This window comes from Homo sapiens, chromosome X, assembly GCF_000001405.40.
Source record: "Homo sapiens chromosome X, GRCh38.p14 Primary Assembly".
Classification (NCBI taxonomy): domain Eukaryota; kingdom Metazoa; phylum Chordata; class Mammalia; order Primates; family Hominidae; genus Homo; species Homo sapiens.
Genome location: NC_000023.11, coordinates 63,489,707 through 63,507,821, shown reverse-complemented (window position 1 = coordinate 63,507,821; position 18,115 = coordinate 63,489,707). Strand labels below are relative to the sequence as shown.

Here is an 18,115-nt window from a genome sequence, read left to right as displayed (position 1 = left end):
TTATTACTCTGAGGAAGGGGACAATTTAAGGGGTGTAGGGTTGAAGACATAAAGTGACTATGAGGGTGCATGTCTGTTCTCCATTTATGAGCATTTCCACTTCTCCTAATGGGAAAATCCCATTTTGATCCTCAGAGCAACCCTATTCATCTTATGGCATCCTGTGCTTTTGTTGTTCCTGCTATTATTTAAGTTTTCTACAATCCTTTCCGAAATGGCCAGACTTTTTGAAATAGAAGCAGACACCTCTTTTATCATTAGAAAGAGGCATTTGTCTTTTCTTAAAAGGCCTGGTTTAACTAGCCAGTTGTTGAGGTGCAAATTAATAATCTTTGAGGCATTAATTCTATCTTTTTTCTGAATCATTTTGCTCTGAAAGCTTACTAATTCATGGGTTTGTATATTCACCCAGTTAAGAAACTGGTGTCTTTTAACTAAGGTAACCAAGTCCTCATTTAAGCAATTGAAGAAAGTAGAGTTTATGAGAAAATTGTTCTGGTAATCTTGGAGGCTAGTGTCAACCACTTTGGAATATTGTTGAAAGCTTATCTCATTGCCATTCCAAATAACTACAGATTCATCTGGCCTTTTGAGTACATTGCTCAACTCGCTTCCAATATACATTTTTTTAAAGGAAAGACCTGGGGAATGGCATCATGGAGAGACTTGGACAAAATGCAGACCCCTTCATGGTCTGCTTCAGTCTGATTTTGAAAATCCTCTAAAGGATTATTTCAGTTTGCCTTTTTTAACCACCCAATGGCCTTGCCTTCTGACACCAACATGTGAATTAATTGATATAGGTCAGAATATCCAGGCTCATAAGTTCAAAGAGTCAGATCAAATTCTTTTGCAAACCATATAGAATCTTGGAACAGGTCAGGGAAGCCTTTGATAACACTCTTAAATTCAATTTTTGCCCAAGGGGTATTAGACCCACCTCTTCCGTACAGGAAGAGGTGCTGTACAATCACACCTTGAAAAAGGCTGCCAGAATGGAAGTTTAAGGGAGGGGATCGGAGACATGGAAAGTTCCCTCAGGTACTGATGCTAGAAGAAGTAAAGCAAGACAGGAAAGTTCAGATGAAGGAGAATATGAAGATGCAGGGGTAGGAGAAGAAGGAGCAGTTAGAGCTGAAATGGAAAATGTGTTTCTAATGGCAGTTGTTGCTTAAAAGAGTGTTCAGAGTTTGAAGCTTGATTTCCCATAATTTAGGAGCTTTTCAAAAGTTACCAAGGTCATGAATATGTTTTGTGTTTGAAGTATGCTTCTTATGAACATCACTCCTCTAGATGTCACCCAAGAGTCATGAATAGCTTTCTTATGTATCCTAGTCTGTTTCTAACTGCTGGGTGGCAGCAGGGTACTCAACATATAGGGGACCAGTCCCTCATATTATATCCTAATGGAAGAGCAGAAAAGGGAGTTCATAAAGATGTTCTTCTGGGGGGGAGGGCCCCATGAGGCTACTTCATGTTGCGTCATGGTTAATGACCCTGACACCTTGGTGTAGTCTTCAGTCACCTGCAGCACCCAAATGGGCCAGAGGAAGCAAATCTCCTCTTTTCCTTGGGGCAAGAGAACTCACCCTCTGCATTTTTCCATTAGGAACTAACAGGAATTTGTCACAAATGAAAAGGTAGGTCTGCATTTCTAAGCAACTGCTGCAATATTAAAAAGCATGCTATTAAAATGAAACCACCAGTGCCTAATTTCCAATACCTTGACCCAGACCTTACTTCCGTGGGACAGAGGTAGAAAAGGCTGAAGTTCTCTGGGGAGCTGTTTGCCTGACTGTGACCCAGACCTCCTATCATGAGCCAGAGGCAGAAGAGTCAGTTTTGTTTTTGTTTTGCTTGTAACCCAAATACCTTACCTTTAGGGTAAAGATGGAAAACCTCAATTTTGAGGTTTGGAAAGTGAGGTTTGGAAAAAAACACCTCAAGCAGAGTCTAGACCTTCAACCAAAAAGTGGGAAGGACCAGATTTCAGTAGGCCTCAACACTTCACATTCAATACTTTCTCAAAGAGTCAAAATAAATCAAGAGGTTCAGAGCTGACCAAATGCTGAGTCAAGGAGGAATGTCAGATGGTCAGAGGTGTCTGAATTCTGCTCACAGCACCAGATATGTCACCCTAAAAGAAGGAGAGTGAAGGACAAAATATGATTGAAAGACTTTATTTCAGACAAAGTAAGGGCAGCTGCTGGGAAAACTCAGAGCCAAGTAACCTAGGATAGGAGCTCCATTGGGCCTTTGTTACGAGCAGATTTCTAAAGGCAAAGAAGAGGCACAGGGAGTTGGCTGATACAAAGTTGTTTGTCAGGAATTCTCACTGGTTTACAAAAATAACATTGATTAGTGATTGGCTATACATTGTTAAGCTATAGGGTATGGGATATAGTGTCCAGTGCCACATTATTAGGTTAATTCATAGCTACTTCATAGCTACCAAGCAGTTTTAATAGTTGAATAAATGGCTCAAAAGGGGGGAGTAGGATGTGATTATTGTCTTACTTTAATGCCTCTCTGAGTCTGATAATTTGAAAGAGCTCGTATTCTTCTACAAAAGTGTTAACTTTTCTTCTGTAGGCAGAAGCATATTGATGAGCAGATGGTGGGCAGGGTTCATGCAAAGAATAGTGACGCTTGGTGTTACTGTGTTTTATTTCTCTCCATTCCCACTCCTGACAAATTATTTGATTATGAACATTGAAATTAAGCATAATCCTCCCAATAGGATCATACATCTTCCAGAGTTTGCCTGCATTATATAGAGCTTGCTCTAGTCTTTGACTCCACCTGTCTTATTCCCTTTCTGAGATAGCATGAGCCTTTTAAGGGCTACTTCTTATTCCTTACTATGCCTAAGAAGTCCCTAGGATAGGCAGTTGCATAAAGTTAGGGCCCAATCAGTGTTTGTTGAAATGATTTACATGTTTTCCATGAGGATAAAGCAAGGTATGAAAAAAGTAGGAAAGGAAGTAATAATGGAGAGGTAGTCAGAGGACAAACATCTACAGGAATAATGGCATTAGAGTGAAGTGGGTTTTGAGAAAATTTAAATAGTAAAGGAGATTAGAGAAAATTATCAAGGGGAAGAAAAAAGAAACTAACGTAAGAGTCTGACATCAGTTGTGGAAGGGCTGTGAGAGTAAGGATTCATTTCTTGTATGTGATGCATGATTTCAACTTTTTCTATCTTGTTTTTAAAATTGGTAGTCACAATTTAATATTAAATATTTACAGAGTAATTAGCTGTGGATTTTAACATGTGTAAAAGTACCTTTCAGGCTGGGCGTGGTGGTTCACACCTGTAATCCCAGCACTTTGGGAGGCTGAGGCTGGTGAATTACCTGAAGTCAGGAGTTCAAGACCAGCCTGGCCAACAGAGTGAAACCCTATCTCTACTAAAAATACAAAAATTAGCCGGGTGTGGTGGCACGTGCCTGTAATCCCAGCTATGTGGGGGTCTGAGGCAGGAGAATCACTTGAACCATGTAGGCGGAAGTTGCAGGGAGCCAAGATGGAGCCACTGATCTCCAGCTCAGGTGACAGAGTAAGACTCGCCCCTCTCTCTCAAAAAAAAAGGTATCATTCAAATGCAAATTTTAGGAGAAAAAAATATTTTTCTACATGAAAAATAAGCAGATTGCAATTATTGGTGTTTAAAAGAAAATTTTAGAAGACTATTAAAATAACCATTTATATTCAGAGATGTGCTGTGCCTTCAACAGATTTTACATGAATTTCAGAAATTGATTTTAGCTTGTGGTAGGACAAATAATGACTCCAAAGATATCCAGGTCCTAATCCCTGGAATCCGTGCATGTTACCTTATAAGGTAACTGAGACCTTGCAGATGTGATTAATTAAAGGATCTTGAGTTGGTGAGATTATTCCGAATTATCTGGGTGGGCCCTGAATGAAATTATAAGTGTCCTTATAAGAAGAAGGCAGAGGCAGATTTGAGACAGAAGACAGTGTGTTACCAGTGAAGCAAGATGCTATTTTGCTGGCTTTGAAGACAAAGGAAGGAGTCTCTAGCTAAGGAATGCAAGGAATGCAGCTCTAGAAGCTGCAAAGGCAAAGTCTTTTATCCCCTAAACCCTCTAGGGAAAGTGTGGTTCTGCCTACATTTTGATTTCCCCCCAGTGAAGCTGATTTCAGACTTCTAACCTTCAAAACTGTAGGAGAAAAAATGTGCATTGTTTAAGTCACTGAGTTTGTGATAAATTGTTAGAGCAGCCATAGAAAAGTAATACATAGCCCTTTTAGTTACTATTTAAATTACGCCAGCGTCTCTGAGATATTCTTTGAAAGTGGCTTTACTGTCGAAATATATTATCTAACTATAGCTTACTATTAAAATCTTTTACAAATATAAATATAATTCCTCAAAAATTCTGTAAAATATATTATTTTAGGCTTATTTAATCTCTTTGAAAACAAAATTTATTCTTCTAAATATTTTCAATCTTAAATATCTTGAATATGTAAAGATTATCAGTGATTTTTCCTACTTTTTACCACATTTTAAAATTAATCAAAAATACAAGCATAACAGTTTATGTGTAATAAAAGGTATCTAAACCTAAGTTGTGTGAATACTGTAATACTGTTATCTAATCTGAAGAGTCCTACTCTCTCTCCAACTTCAATTTGTCTTTACAAAAAGGCACTAAGTTAAGAAAGGAGAAGAAAAAAATTTAACATTGTGTCAATATATGTAATAATTTGTGATAGAGAAAGAGGAAAATATAATGAGAATAAAGAGTAAGGATGTTAAATTAGCTGCAGTTTTTTAAAAAATAATTTTTAGGCCAGGCGCCGTGGCTCAAGCCTGTAATCCCAGCACTTTGGGAGGCTGAGGCAGGTGGATCACAAAGTCAGGAGCTTGACACCAGCCTGGCCAATATGGAGAAACCCCGTCTCTACTAAAAACACAAAGATTAGCCAGGCGAGGTGGTGGGCACCTGTAGTCTCAGCTACTTGGAAGGCTGAGGCAGGAGAATCGCTTGAACCTGGGAGGCGGAGGTTGCAGTGAGCTGAGATCCCGCCATGGCACTCCAGCCTGAGCCACAGAGCGAGACTCTGTCTCAAATAATAATAATAATAATAATAATAATTTTTAAAAACTTATTTTTGAGGATACCTCACAGTGTATCCTGGATATAGATAAGAATAAAGTTCCTCAAAAGGTGAATTATAAAACACATTTTGGTACAAAAAATTTAGCTATTATCTATTTAGCTATTATGTAATAATGTAAATTTTTACGTTTTTAAAAATTTATTATGTAAATAACAAGTTTAGCTGTTATGTAATTGGAAGTGTATCCTTGTTTAAAGTATTTAGTAAAAGATGGAAATAAACATTAGTTACCTCACATTTTCTCTTCACTAATTGAGAGTACTTCTCCCAGCTCTTTACACCTAAAGCCATGCTCTTGCAGCTAGAGCAAGAAAATTTTACCCAATCTCTTTTTTAAAAATTTTCTAAGACCTTTACCTCCATAGCAGCTCATAAATTTATGAAGTTTTTGTTTTTTCATTGACAAATAAAAATTGAATATATTTATAGTATACAATATGAACTCTTGAAATATGTGTACATAGTGGAATGGCTCAATTAAGCATGCATATATATATATATATATATATATATATATATATATATATATATAAAATGTATATATATATCCTACTTATTTTTTTGGTGAGAACACTGAAAATCTACTGTTTTAACAATTTTCAAAACATTAAAGCTATATTAACCACTTTATATAATAGATCTCTTAAACTTATTCTCCCTATCTAGTTGAAATTTTGTATCCTTTGAAAAAATTCCCCCAACACCCAGTCCTAGTAACCACTCCAAGTCTCAGGTAACCATCATTCTACTCACTACCTATATGCATTCAACTCTTTTGGATTCCACATACAAATAAGATAATGCAGTATTTGTCTTTCTGTGCCTGCCTTATTTCACTTTACCTAATGTTATCTAGGTTGATCCATGTTATTGCAAAAGACAAAATTTCCCTCTTTTTAAGACTGAAGAGTATTCCACTGTGTGTGTGTGTGTGTGTGTATACATATATATAAATATAAAATGCATTCTAATATATATAATATATTCTTCCTTTATTCATCAATAGATACTTAGATTGATTACATGTCTTGGCTATTATGAATAATGCTGCAATGAACATGGGAGTACAGACATCCTTTTGAAATACTGATTTCATTTCCTTTGGATATACCCAGAAGTGAGACTTCTGGATCATGAAGTAGTTTTATTTTTAATTTATTGAGGAACCTCCATACTGATTTCCATAATGGCTGTACTAATTTACATCTCCACCAACAGTGTGCAGGGGTTCTTTTTTCTCCACATCCTTGTCAACAATTCTTTTACCTTTTTGATAAAAGGCACTCTAAAAAATGCGAGGTCATATGTCATTGTGGTTTTAATTTGCACTTCTCTGCGGACTAGTGATTTAGAACATTTTTTCCATATGCAAGTTGGCCATTTATATTTCTTCATTTGAGAAATGTCTCTTCAGGTCCTTGTCCCATTTTTTATTTACTGTTATTTTTATTTTATTTTTTAAATTTTTTTATGTTTGTGTGTACTTAGTAGGTGAATATATTTCTGCAGAACATGAGATATTTTGATACAAGCAAACACTTCCTAATAATCACATCAGGGTAAATGGGATATGAATCATTTAAGCATTTATATTTTCTTTGTGTTACAAACAATCCAGTTATAATCTTTTAGTTCTTTTAAAATGTATAAGAAATTATTGAAGACTGTAGTTACCATGTTGTGACATCCAATACTAGATCTTACTCATTTTATCTAGCTTTATTTTTGTAACCATTAACTTTCCACTGCACTATTCTTTTTGGCCTGTGGTAACCATTGTTTTAGTCTCTAGCTCCATGAGTTCAATTGTTTTAATTTTTAGCTCCTACAAGTAAGTGAGAACATAAGAATTTTGTCTTTCTCTGCCTGGCTTATTTCACTTAACATAATGATGTCCAGTTCCATCTAAGTTATTGCAAAGGACAGAATCTCAATCTTTTTATGGCTGAATAGTGCTCCATTGTGTATATTTACCACATTTTCTTTATATATTCATCTGTTGATGGACATGTAGATTGCTTTCAAATATTGGCTATTGTGAAAAATGGTACAATAAGCATGAGAGTGCAGGTATTTTTTCAGTATACTGACTCCCATTCTTTGGGGTATATACCTTATAACAGGATTGACGGATCATATGGTAGCTCTGTTTTTAGTATTTTGAGAAAACTCCAAATTGTTCTCCATAGTACTGTACCAATTTATATTCCCACCAACAGTGTACGAGGGTTCCCTGTTCTCCACATCCTCACCAGCATTTGTTATTACCTGTCTTTTGGCTATAAGCCATTTTAACTGGGGTAAGGTAATATCTCATTGTAGTTTTGATTTGCATTTCTCTGATAAGCATTTATGATGAGGAACTTTTCATATACCTCCTTACCATTTGTATGTCTTCTTTTGAAAAATTCAGATCTTTTGCCCATTTTTTAATGAGATTATTAGATTTTTCCCAATAGAGTTGTTTGAGCACCTTAGATATTTTAATTATTAATCCCTTGTCATGTGGAGAGATTGCAAACTTTTTTTTTTCCCAACCTGGATTGTCTCTTCACTTTGCTCTTTGTTTCCTTTGCTCTGCAGAAGCTTTTTAATTTTAACATGATCCCATTTGTCCGCTTTTGGTTTGGGTGCCTGTGCTTACAGGGTATTACTCAAGAAATCTTTGCCTATTCCAATGTACTGGATAGTTTCTCCAATGTTTTCTTTTAGTAGTTTCATAGTATGAGGTCTTCGATTTAAGTATTTAATACATATTCATTTGATTTTTGCATATGGTGAGAGATAGGAATCAAGTTTCATCCTTCTGCACAGTTTTGCCAGTGACATTTATTGAGCAGACTGTTCTTTCCATAACATGTGTTCTTGGCACCTTTGTTGAAATTGAGTTCACTGCAGATGTCTGGATTTGTTTCCAGGTCCTGTGTTCTGTTCCATTAATTTATGTGTCTGTTCTTATGTCATTACCATGCTGTTTTGGTTATATGGCTCTGTAGTATAATTTGAAATCAGGTAACGTGATTCCTTCAGTTTGGTTCTTTTTGCTCAGAACAGTTTTTAATATTCTGAGTTTTTGGTGTTTCCATATACATTTTAGGGTTGTTTTTTCTATTTCTGTGAAGAATGTCATTGGTATTTTGATAGGGATTACATTGAATCTATAGATGGCTTCTGGTAGTGTAGACATTTTAACAATATTGATACTGTCAATCCATGGACATTGAATATATTTCCTTTTCTGTATACTCTTCACTTCTTTCATCAAAGTTTCATAGTTTTCATTGTAGAAATCTTTGACTTCTTCAGTTAAGTTTATTTCAATGTTTTAAATTTTATTTGTAGCTGTTTTACATTGTGTTACTTTCTTGGTTTCTTTTTCACATTGTTCACTGTTTGCATATGGAGATGTTACTGATTTTTCTATGTTAATGTTGTATTCTTGAACTTTACTGAATTTGTTTATTAGTTCCTATAATTTTCTGCTGAGTCTTTAGGTTTTGCCAAATACAAGATCATATTATTCGCAAAGGAGGGTGATTTGACTTATTTCTTTTCAACTTGGACACCCTTTATCTCTTTCTTTTTTCTGATTCTTATAGTTAGGACTTTCAGTATTATGTTGAATAAGAGTGGTGAAATTTGGCATACTCATGTTCCAGAATTTAGAGGAAAGGCTTTCAGTTTTTCCCCATGCAGTATGATACTAGCTATCAGTCTGTCATTTATGGCTTTTATTGTCTTGAGGTATGTTCCTTCTATGCTTATTTTTTGAGAGTTTTTATCTTGAAGGGATGTTGAATTTTGTCAAATGTTTTTTCTGCATCAATTGAAATGATCATTTTTTTCCCTTCATTCTGTTCATATGATGTAACACAATGATTGATTAGCATATGTGGATCCATCCTTCCAGCCCTGGGATAAATCTCACCTGGTCATGATGAATAATGTTTTTAATATGTTGCTGAATTTGATATGCTAGTATTTTGTTGAGGATTTTTGCAATAATGTTTATCATATATTAGCATGTGGTTTTCTTTCTTTGATGTGTCTTTTTCTGGTTTTGGTAGCAGGGTACTACTGGTCTCATAGAAAGTTTGGAAGTATTCACTCCTCATTGTTTCAGAACAGTTTGAGTAGGATTGGTATTAGCTCTTTAAGTGTTTGGTAAAATTGAACAGTGAAGCCATCAGGTCCTGGACTTTTCTTTGCTGAGAGACTATTTATTTTGGCTTCTATCTTGTTACTTCTTAGTGATCAGCTTACATTTTGGATTTCTTCATGGTTCAGTCGTGGTAGGTTATAAGCATTTTGGAATTCATCCATTTCTTCTGGGTTTTCCAATTTATTGGTGTATAGTTGTTCATAGGGACATCTAATAATTCTTTGATTTCTGCAGTATCAATTTTAATGTCTTTTTTTCTTTTTTTTAAATTATACTTTAAGTTCTATGGTACATGTGCACAACGTGCAGGATAGTTACATATGTATACATGTGCCATGTTGGTGTGCTGCACCCATTAACTCATCATTTACATTAGGTATATCTCCTAATGCTATCCCTCCCCCCTCCCCCCACCCCACAACAGCCCTGGTGTGCAATGTTCCCCTTCCTGTGTCCAAGTGTTCTCATTGTTCAATAACCACCTATGAGTGAGAACATGCGGTGTTTGGTTTTCTGTCCTTGCGATACTTTGCTGAGAATGATGGTTTCCAGCTTCATCCATGTCCCTACAAACGACATGAACTCATCCTTTTTTAGGGCTGCATAGTATTCCATGGTGTATATGTGCCACATTTTTTTAATCCAGTCTATCATTGATGGACATTTCGATTGGTTCCAAGTCTTTGCTATTGTGAATAGTGCCACAATAAACATACATGTCCATGTGTCTTTATAGCAGCATGATTTATAATCCTTTGGGTATATACCCAGTAATGGGATGACTGGGTCAAATGGTATTTCTAGTTCTAGATCCTTGAGGAATAGCCACACTGTCTTCCACAATGGTTGAACTAGCTTACAGTCCCACCAACAGTGTAAAAGTGTTCGTATATCTCCGCATCCTCTCCAGCACGTGTTGTTTCCTGAATTTTTAATGATTGCCATTCTGACTGGTCTGAGATGGTATCTCACTGTGGTTTTGATTTGCAATTCTCTGATGGCCAGTGATGATGAGCATTTTTTCATGTGTCTGTTGGCTGCATAAATGTCTTCTTTTGAGAAGTGTCTGTTCATATCCTTCACCCACTTTTTGATGGGTTTATTTGTTTTTTTCTTGTAAATTTGTTTGAGTTCTTTGTAGATTCTGGATATTAGCCCTTTGTCAGATGAGTACATTGCAAAAATTTTCTCCCATTCTGTAGGTTGCCTGTTCACTCTGATGGTAGTTTCTTTTGCTGTGCAGAAGCTCTTTAGTTTAATTAGATCCCATTTGTCAATTTTGTCTTTTGTTGCCACTGCTTCTGGTGTCTTAGACATGAAGTCCTTGCCCATGCCTATGTCCTGAATGGTATTGCCTAGGTTTTCTTCTAGGGCTTTTATGGTTTTAGGTCTAACATTTAAGTCTTTAATCCATCTTGAATTAATTTTAGTATAAGGTGTAATGAAGGGATCCAGTTTCAGCTTTCTACATATGGCGAGCCAGTTTTCCCAGTACCGTTTATTAAACAGGGAATCCTTTCCCCATTTCTTGTTTTTGTCAGGTTTGTCAAAGATCAGATAGTTGTAGATATGTGGCATTATTTCTGAGGGCTCTGTTCTGTTCCATTGGTCTATATCTCTGTTTTGGTACCAGTACCATGCTGTTTTGGTTACTGTAGCCTTGTAGTATAGTTTGAAGTCAGGTAGCGTGATGCCTCCAGCTTTCTTCTTTTAGCTTAGGATTTTCTTGGGCATTGCGGGCTCTTTTTTGGTGCCTTATGAACTTTAAAGTAGTTTTTTCCAATTCTGTGAAGAAAGCCATTGGGAGCTTGATGGGGATGGCATTGAATGTATAAATTACCTTGGGCAGTATGGCCATTTTCACAATATTGATTCTTCCTATCCATGAGCATGGAATGTTCTTCCCTTTGTTTGTGTCCTCTTTTATTGCTTTGAGCAGTGGTTTGCAGTTCTCCTTGAAGAGGTCCTTCACATCCCTTGTAAGTTGGATTCCTAGGTATTTTATTCTCTTTGAAGCAATTGTGAATGTTAGTTCACTCATTATTCGGCTTCCTGTTTCCCTGTTATTGGTGTACAAGAATGCTTGTGATTTTTGCACATTGATTTTGTATCCTGAGACTTTGCTGTTGCTTATCAGCTTAAGATTTTGGGCTGAGACAATGGGGTTTTCTAGATATACAATCATGTCATCTGCAAACAGGAACAATTGGACTTTCTCTTTTCCTAATTGAATACCCTTTATGTGTTTCTCCTGCCTGATTGCCCTGGCCAGAACTTCCAACACTATGTTGAATAGGAGTGGTGAGAGAGGGCATCCCTGTCTTGTGCCACTTTTCAACAGGAATGCTTCCAGTTTTTGCCCATTCAGTATGATATTGCCTGTGGGTTTGTCAGAAATAGCTCTTATTATTTTGAGATACGTCTCATCAATACCTAATTTATTGAGAGTTTTTAGCATGAAGGGTTGTTGAATTTTTGTCAAAGGCCTTTTCTGCATCTATTGAGATAATCATGTGGTTTTTGTATTTGGTTCTGTTTATATGCTTGATTATATTTATTGATTTCCGCCTATTGAACCTGCCTTGCATCCCAGGGATGAAGCCCACTTGATCATGGAGGATAAGCTTTTTGATGTGCTGCTGGATTCAGTTTGCCGGTATTTTATTGAGGATTTTTACATCGATGTTCATCAGGGATACTGGTATAAAATTCTCTTTTTTGGCTGCGTCCCTGCCAGGCTATGGTATCAGGATGATATTGGCCTCATAAAATGAGTTAGGGAGGATTCCCTCTTTTTCGTTGATTGGAATAGTTTCAGAAGGAATAGTACCAGCTCCTCCTTGTACCTCTGGTAGAATTTGGCTGTGAATCCGTCTGGTCCTGGACATTTTTTGGTTGGTAGGCTATTAATTATTGCCTCAATTTCAGAGCCTGTTATTGGTCTATTCAGGGATTCACCTTCTTCCTGGTTTAGTCCTGGGAGGGTGTATGTGTCCTGGAATTTATCCATTTCTTCTAGATTTTCTAGTTGATTTGCGTAGAGGTGTTTATAGTATTCTCTGATGGTAGTTTGTATTTCTGTGGGATCGGTGGTGATATCCCCTTTCTCATTTTTCATTGTGTCTATTTCTTTCTTCTCTCTTTTCTTCTTTATTAATCTTGCTGGCATTCTGTCAATTTTGTTGATCTTTTCAAAAAACCAGCCCTGGATTCATTGATTTTTTTGAAAGGTTTTTTGTGTCTGTATCTCCATCAGTTCTGCTCTGATCTTTGTTATTTCTTGCCTTCTGCTAGCTTTTGAAAGTGTTTACTCTTGCTTCTCTAGTTCTTTCAATTGTGACGTTAGGATGTCAATTTTAGATCTTTTCTGCTTTCTCTTGTGGGTGTTCAGTGCTGTAAATTTCCCTCTACACACTGCTTTAAATATGTGCCAGAGATTCAAGTAGGTTGTGTTTTTGTTCTCATTGGTTTCAAAGAACATCTTTATTTCTGCCATCATTTTGTTATGTACCCAGTAGTCACTCAGCAGCAGGTTGTTCAGTTTCCATGTAGTTGAGTGGTTTTGAGTGAGTTTCTTTATCCTGAGTTCTAGTTTGATTGCACTGTGGTCTGAGAGACAGTTTGTTATAATTTCTGTTCTTTTACATTTGCTGAGGAGTTCTTTACTTCCAACTATGTGGTCAATTTTGGAATAGGCGCAATGTGGTGCTGAGAAGAATGTATATTCTGTTGATTTGGGGTGGAGAGTTCTATAGATGTCTGTTAGGTCCACTTGGTGCAGAGCTAAATTCAATTCCTGGATATCCTTGTTAAATTTCTGTCTCGTTGGTCTGTCTTTTGTTTAAATTTGGGTGTTAAAGTCTTCCATTATTATTGTGTGGGAGTCTAAGTCTTTTTGTAAGTCTCTAAGGACTTGCTTTATGAATCTGGGTACTCCTGTATTGGGTGTATATATATTTAGGATAGTTAGCTCTTCTTGTTGAATTGATCCCTTTGCCATTATGTAATGGTCTTCTTTGTCTCTTTTGATCTTTGTTGGTTTAAAGTCTGTTTTATCAGAGACTAGGATTGCAACCCCTGCCTTTTTTTGTTTTCCATTTGCTTCATAGATCTTTCTCCATCCCTTTATTTTGAGCCTATGTGTGTCTCTGCACGTGAGATGGGTCTCCTGAGTACAGCACACTGATGGGTCTTGACTCTTTATCCAGTTTGCCAGTCTGTGTCTTTTAATTGGAGCATTTAGCCCACTTACATTTAAAGTTAATATTGTTATGTGTGAATTTGATCCTGTCATTATGATGTTAGCTGGTTATTTTGCTCGTTAGTTGATGCAGTTTCTTCCTAGCCTCGATAGTCTTTACAATTTGGCATGATTTTGCAGTGGCTGGTACTGGTTGTTCCTTTCCATGTTTTGTGCTTCCTTCAGGAGGTCTTTTAGGGCAGGCCTGGTGGTGACAAAATCTCTCAGCATTTGCTTGTCTGTAAAGGATTTTATTTCTCCTTCACTTATGAAGCTTAGTTTGGCTGGACATGAAATTCTGGGTTGAAAATTCTTTTCTGTAAGAATGTTGAATATTGTCCCCCACTCTCTTCTGGCTTGTAGAGTTTCTGCCAAGAGATCAGCTGTTAGTCTGATGGGCTTCCCTTTGTGGGTAACCTGACCTTTGTCTCTGGCTGCCCTTAACATTTGTTCCTTCATTTCGACTTTCGTGAATCTGACAAGTATGTTCTTGGAGTTGCTCTTCTCGAGGATTATCTTTGTGGCGTTCTCTGTATTTCCTGAATTTGAATGTTGACCTGCCTTGCTAGGTTGGGGAAGTTCTCCTGGATAATATCCTGCAGTGTTTTCCAACTTTTTTCCATTCTCCCTGTCACTTTCAGGTATACCAGTCAGACGTAGGTTTGGTCTTTTCACATAGTCCCATATTTTTTGGAGGCTTTGTTCGTTTCTTTTTACTCTTTTTTCTCTAAACTTCTCTTCTCGCTTAATTTCATTCATTTGATCTTCAATCACTGATACCCTTTCTTCCAGTTGATCGAATCGGCTACTGAAGCTTGTGCATTTGTCACATAGTTCTCGTGCCATGGTTTTCAGCTCCATCAGGTCATTTAAGGACTTTTCTACACTGGTTATTGTAGTTAGCCATTCGTTTAATCTTTTTTTCAAGGTTTTTAGCTTCTTTGTGATGGGTTTGAACTTCCTCCTTTAGCTCAGAGAAGTTTGATCTTCTGAAGCCTTCTTCTCTCCACTTGTCAAAGTCATTCTCCCTCCAGCTTTGTTCCGTTGCTGTCGAGGAGCTGCATTTCTTTGGAGGCGGAGAGGTACTCTGATTTTTAGAATTTTCAGCTTTTCTGCTCTGTTTTTTCCCCATCTTTGTGGTTTTATCTACCTTTGGTCTTTGATTATGGTAACGTACAGTTGGGGTTTTGGTGTGGATGTCCTTTCTGTTTTTCAGTTTTCCTTCTAACAGTCAGGACCCTCAGCTGCAGGTCTGTTGGAGTTTGCTAGAGGTCCACTCTAGACCCTGTTTTCCTGGTTATCAGCAGCAGAGGCTGCAGAACAGCGAATGTTGCAGAACAGTGAATGTTGCCGAACAGCAAATGTTGCTGCCTGATCGTTCCTCTGGAAGCTTCGTCTCAGAGGTGTACCCGGCCATGTGAGGTGTCAGTCTGCCCCTACTGGGTGGTGCCTCCCAGTTAAGCTACTCAGGGGTCAGGGACCCACTTGAGGAGGCAGTCTGTTTGCTCTCAGATCTCAAACTCCGGCTGGGAGAACCACTACTCTCTTCAAAGCTGTCAGGCAGGGACGTTTAAGTCTGCAGAAGTTTCTGCTGCCTTTCGAGCAGCTATTCCCTGCCCCATAGGTGGAGTCTACAGAGGCAGTTGGGCCTCCTTGAGCTACAGTGGGCTCCACCCAGTTTGAGCTTCCCGGCTGCTTTGTTTACCTACTCAAGCCTCGGCAATGGTGGGCGCCCCTCCCCCAGCCTCGCTGCCACCTTGCAGTTCGATCTCAGACTGCTGTGCTAGCAATGAGCGAGGCTCTGTGGGTGTGGGACCCTCCGAGCCAGCCGCGGGTTATAATCTCCTGGTGTGCTGTTTGCTAAGACCCTTGGGAAAGCGCAGTATTTGGGTGGGAGTGACCAGATTTTCCAGGTGCTGTCTGTCAAGGCTTCCCTTGGCTGGGAAAGGGAATTCCCTGACCCCTTGCACTTCCCAGGTGAGCTGATGCCTCACCCTGCTTCGGCTCTCGAAGTGGGCTGCACCCACTGCCCTGCACCCACTGTCCGACACGCCCCAGTCACACGAACCTGGTAACTCAGTTGGAAATGAAGAAACCACCCGTCCTTCTGCGTTGCTCACGCTGGGAGCTGTAGACTGGAGCTGTTCCTATTCGACCATCTTGGAACCGCCCCCTAATGTCTTTTTTTCATCACTGATTTTATTTATTTGGACCTTCTCTCTCTTTTTCTGGGTCTGGGTAAAGGTTTGTCAATTTTGTTTATCTTTTCTAGAATCCAATTTTCATTTCATTGATCTTTTATTCATTTCAATTATATTTCTGCTCTGGTCCTTATTATTTCTTTTTTTCTTCTATTAATTTTGAGTTTTCATTGTTCTTGCTTTCCTAGTTCTTTAAGACACCTCATTAGGTTATTTACAGTTTTTCTACTTTTTTGGTATAGGCACTTATAGCTATATATTTTCTTCTTTGTATTGTTTTCACTGTATCCCATACGTTTTGATATCTTGTGTTATCATTATCACTGGTTTTAAGAAATTGTTCATTTTTCTTCTTAATTTATTCATTGACCCACCAGTCACTCAGGAACATATTGTTTAATTTCCATGTGTTTTTATAGTTTCCAGAATTCCTCTTGGTATTGATTTCTGGTTTTATTTCATGTTGATCAGAGAAGATATTTCATATAATTTCAATTTTTTTAATTCTTTAAGAATTGTTTTGCAACCTATGTTCTAGCCATGAGAATGTTACATCTGCTGAGAAGAAGAATGTGTTTTCTGTGCCCACAAATCCAATGTTCTATAAATATCTATTATGTCCATTTAGTCTGTAGTGCAGATTAAGTCCAATGTTTCTTTGATTTTCTGTCTTTATGACAGAATGCTGAAAATAAGCTGTTGAAATCTCCAGCTATTGTATTGGAGTCTATCTCTCTTTAGGCGTAATAATATTTTCTTTATATAACCAGGTGCTCCTGTGTTGGGTGCATGTATATTTATAATTCTTATATTCTCTTACTGAGTTAATTGACCCTTTTCTCATTGTAGAGTGACCTTCTTTGTCTCTTATAGTTTTTTCTTCTTAAGTATGGCAATTTGTGCTCTTTTTTGGTTTCCATTTCCATGGAATATTTTTTCATCCCTTTATTTTCAGTCTCTGTGTGTTTTTTATATGTAAAGTGTGTTTCTTGTAGGCAAGGGATCATTGGGTCTTGTTTATTTATCCATTTAGCCACTCTATGTATTCTCATTGGAGAGGTGAGCACATTTACATTTAAGATTTTTGACAAGTAAGGACTTACTCTTACCATTTTGTTATTTGTTTCCTGGTTGTTTTGTGGTCTTCTTTACCTTCTTTCCTTCCTTCCTTCCTGTCTTTCTTTAGTGAAGGTGATTTTCTTTGGTGATTTATTTTAATTTCTTGCTCTATTTTTTAATATACCGTATGTTTTTTAATTTGAGGTTACCTCATGGTAATAGTGTCTTACAACCTGTTACTTAAAACTGATGACAACTCAACACTGATTGCCTCAACAAACAAGCAAACCAGAAAAAAGAAAATTAATAAAAACTCTACCCTTTAACTTTTTTCTTCCACTTGTTAACTTTGTGTTGTTTCCATTTATATTTTGTTGTACTATCTCTCTTGAAAAGTTTTTATTATTTTGATTTTTTAGTCTTTCTACTAAGATGTAAGTAGTTTACATGCCATAATTACAGTGTTATAATATTCTGTATTTTTCTGTGCACTTACTATTACCAGTAATTACTATTACCAGTAATTTTTACACTGTGAGATGATTTCTGATTGCGCATTAATTTTGTTCTCTTTCAGAATGAAAAACTCTTTAGCATTTCTTGTAGGACAAACTTGGTGTTAATGAAATCCTTCTACTTTCTATGGCTGGGACAGTATTTCTCCTTCATGTTTCATGGATATTCTCAGTGGATAAAATACTTTTGGATAAAAAGGTTTTTTGTTTTTTTGTTTTTCTTCAGCACATTACATATGGCATGCCACTCTCTCTTGGCCTATAAGGTTTCCACTGAAAAGTCTACTGCCAGACGTATTGGAGCTGCATTGTATATTACTTGTTTTTGTATATTACTTGTTTCTTTTATCTTGCTGCTTTTAATATCATTTTTTTTATCCTTGATTTTTGGGAGTTTGATTATTAAATGCCTTGATGTAGTCTTCTTTGCATTAAATCTGCTTGGTGTCCTATAACCTTTTTGCACTTGTATATTAATATCTTTCTCTAGTTTGGGGAAGTTATCTCTTATTATCTATTTGTGTAAACTTTCTACCCCTATCTCTTTCTCAATGACCTCTTTAAGGCCAATAACTCTTAGAAGTGCTTTTTTGAGGCTATTTTCTAGATCTCATAGGTGTGCTTCATTCTTTTTTTGTCTCCCCTGACTATATTTTCAAATAGCCTATCTTGAAGCTCACTAAATTCTTCTTTCTCCTTGGTCAGTTCTGCTGGTGAGAGACTCTGACATATTCTTCAGTATGTCAATTGCATTTTTTCATCTCAAAATTCTGCTTAATTCTTT

General features: G+C 37.1%; 1 long non-coding RNA gene across 6 annotated transcripts in view, besides 3 other annotated features; it reads left to right on the top strand.

The window, feature by feature from the left end:
• Positions 1 to 18,115, top strand: part of LINC01278 (long intergenic non-protein coding RNA 1278) — a 134,538-nt gene that overhangs the window by 53,274 nt on the left and 63,149 nt on the right. The window lies entirely within an intron of this gene.
• Positions 2,931 to 3,431: an enhancer, noted in NCBI's record as "H3K27ac hESC enhancer chrX:62724271-62724771 (GRCh37/hg19 assembly coordinates)". NCBI's record gives its function as "activates a minimal SCP1, AML or CMV promoter by ChIP-STARR-seq in primed H9 embryonic stem cells {active_cell/tissue: H9 hESC(primed)}" and the evidence as "EXISTENCE:reporter gene assay evidence [ECO:0000049][PMID:30033119]".
• Positions 3,432 to 3,932: an enhancer, noted in NCBI's record as "H3K27ac hESC enhancer chrX:62723770-62724270 (GRCh37/hg19 assembly coordinates)". NCBI's record gives its function as "activates a minimal SCP1, AML or CMV promoter by ChIP-STARR-seq in primed H9 embryonic stem cells {active_cell/tissue: H9 hESC(primed)}" and the evidence as "EXISTENCE:reporter gene assay evidence [ECO:0000049][PMID:30033119]".
• Positions 14,943 to 15,443: an enhancer, noted in NCBI's record as "H3K4me1 hESC enhancer chrX:62712259-62712759 (GRCh37/hg19 assembly coordinates)". NCBI's record gives its function as "activates a minimal SCP1, AML or CMV promoter by ChIP-STARR-seq in primed H9 embryonic stem cells {active_cell/tissue: H9 hESC(primed)}" and the evidence as "EXISTENCE:reporter gene assay evidence [ECO:0000049][PMID:30033119]".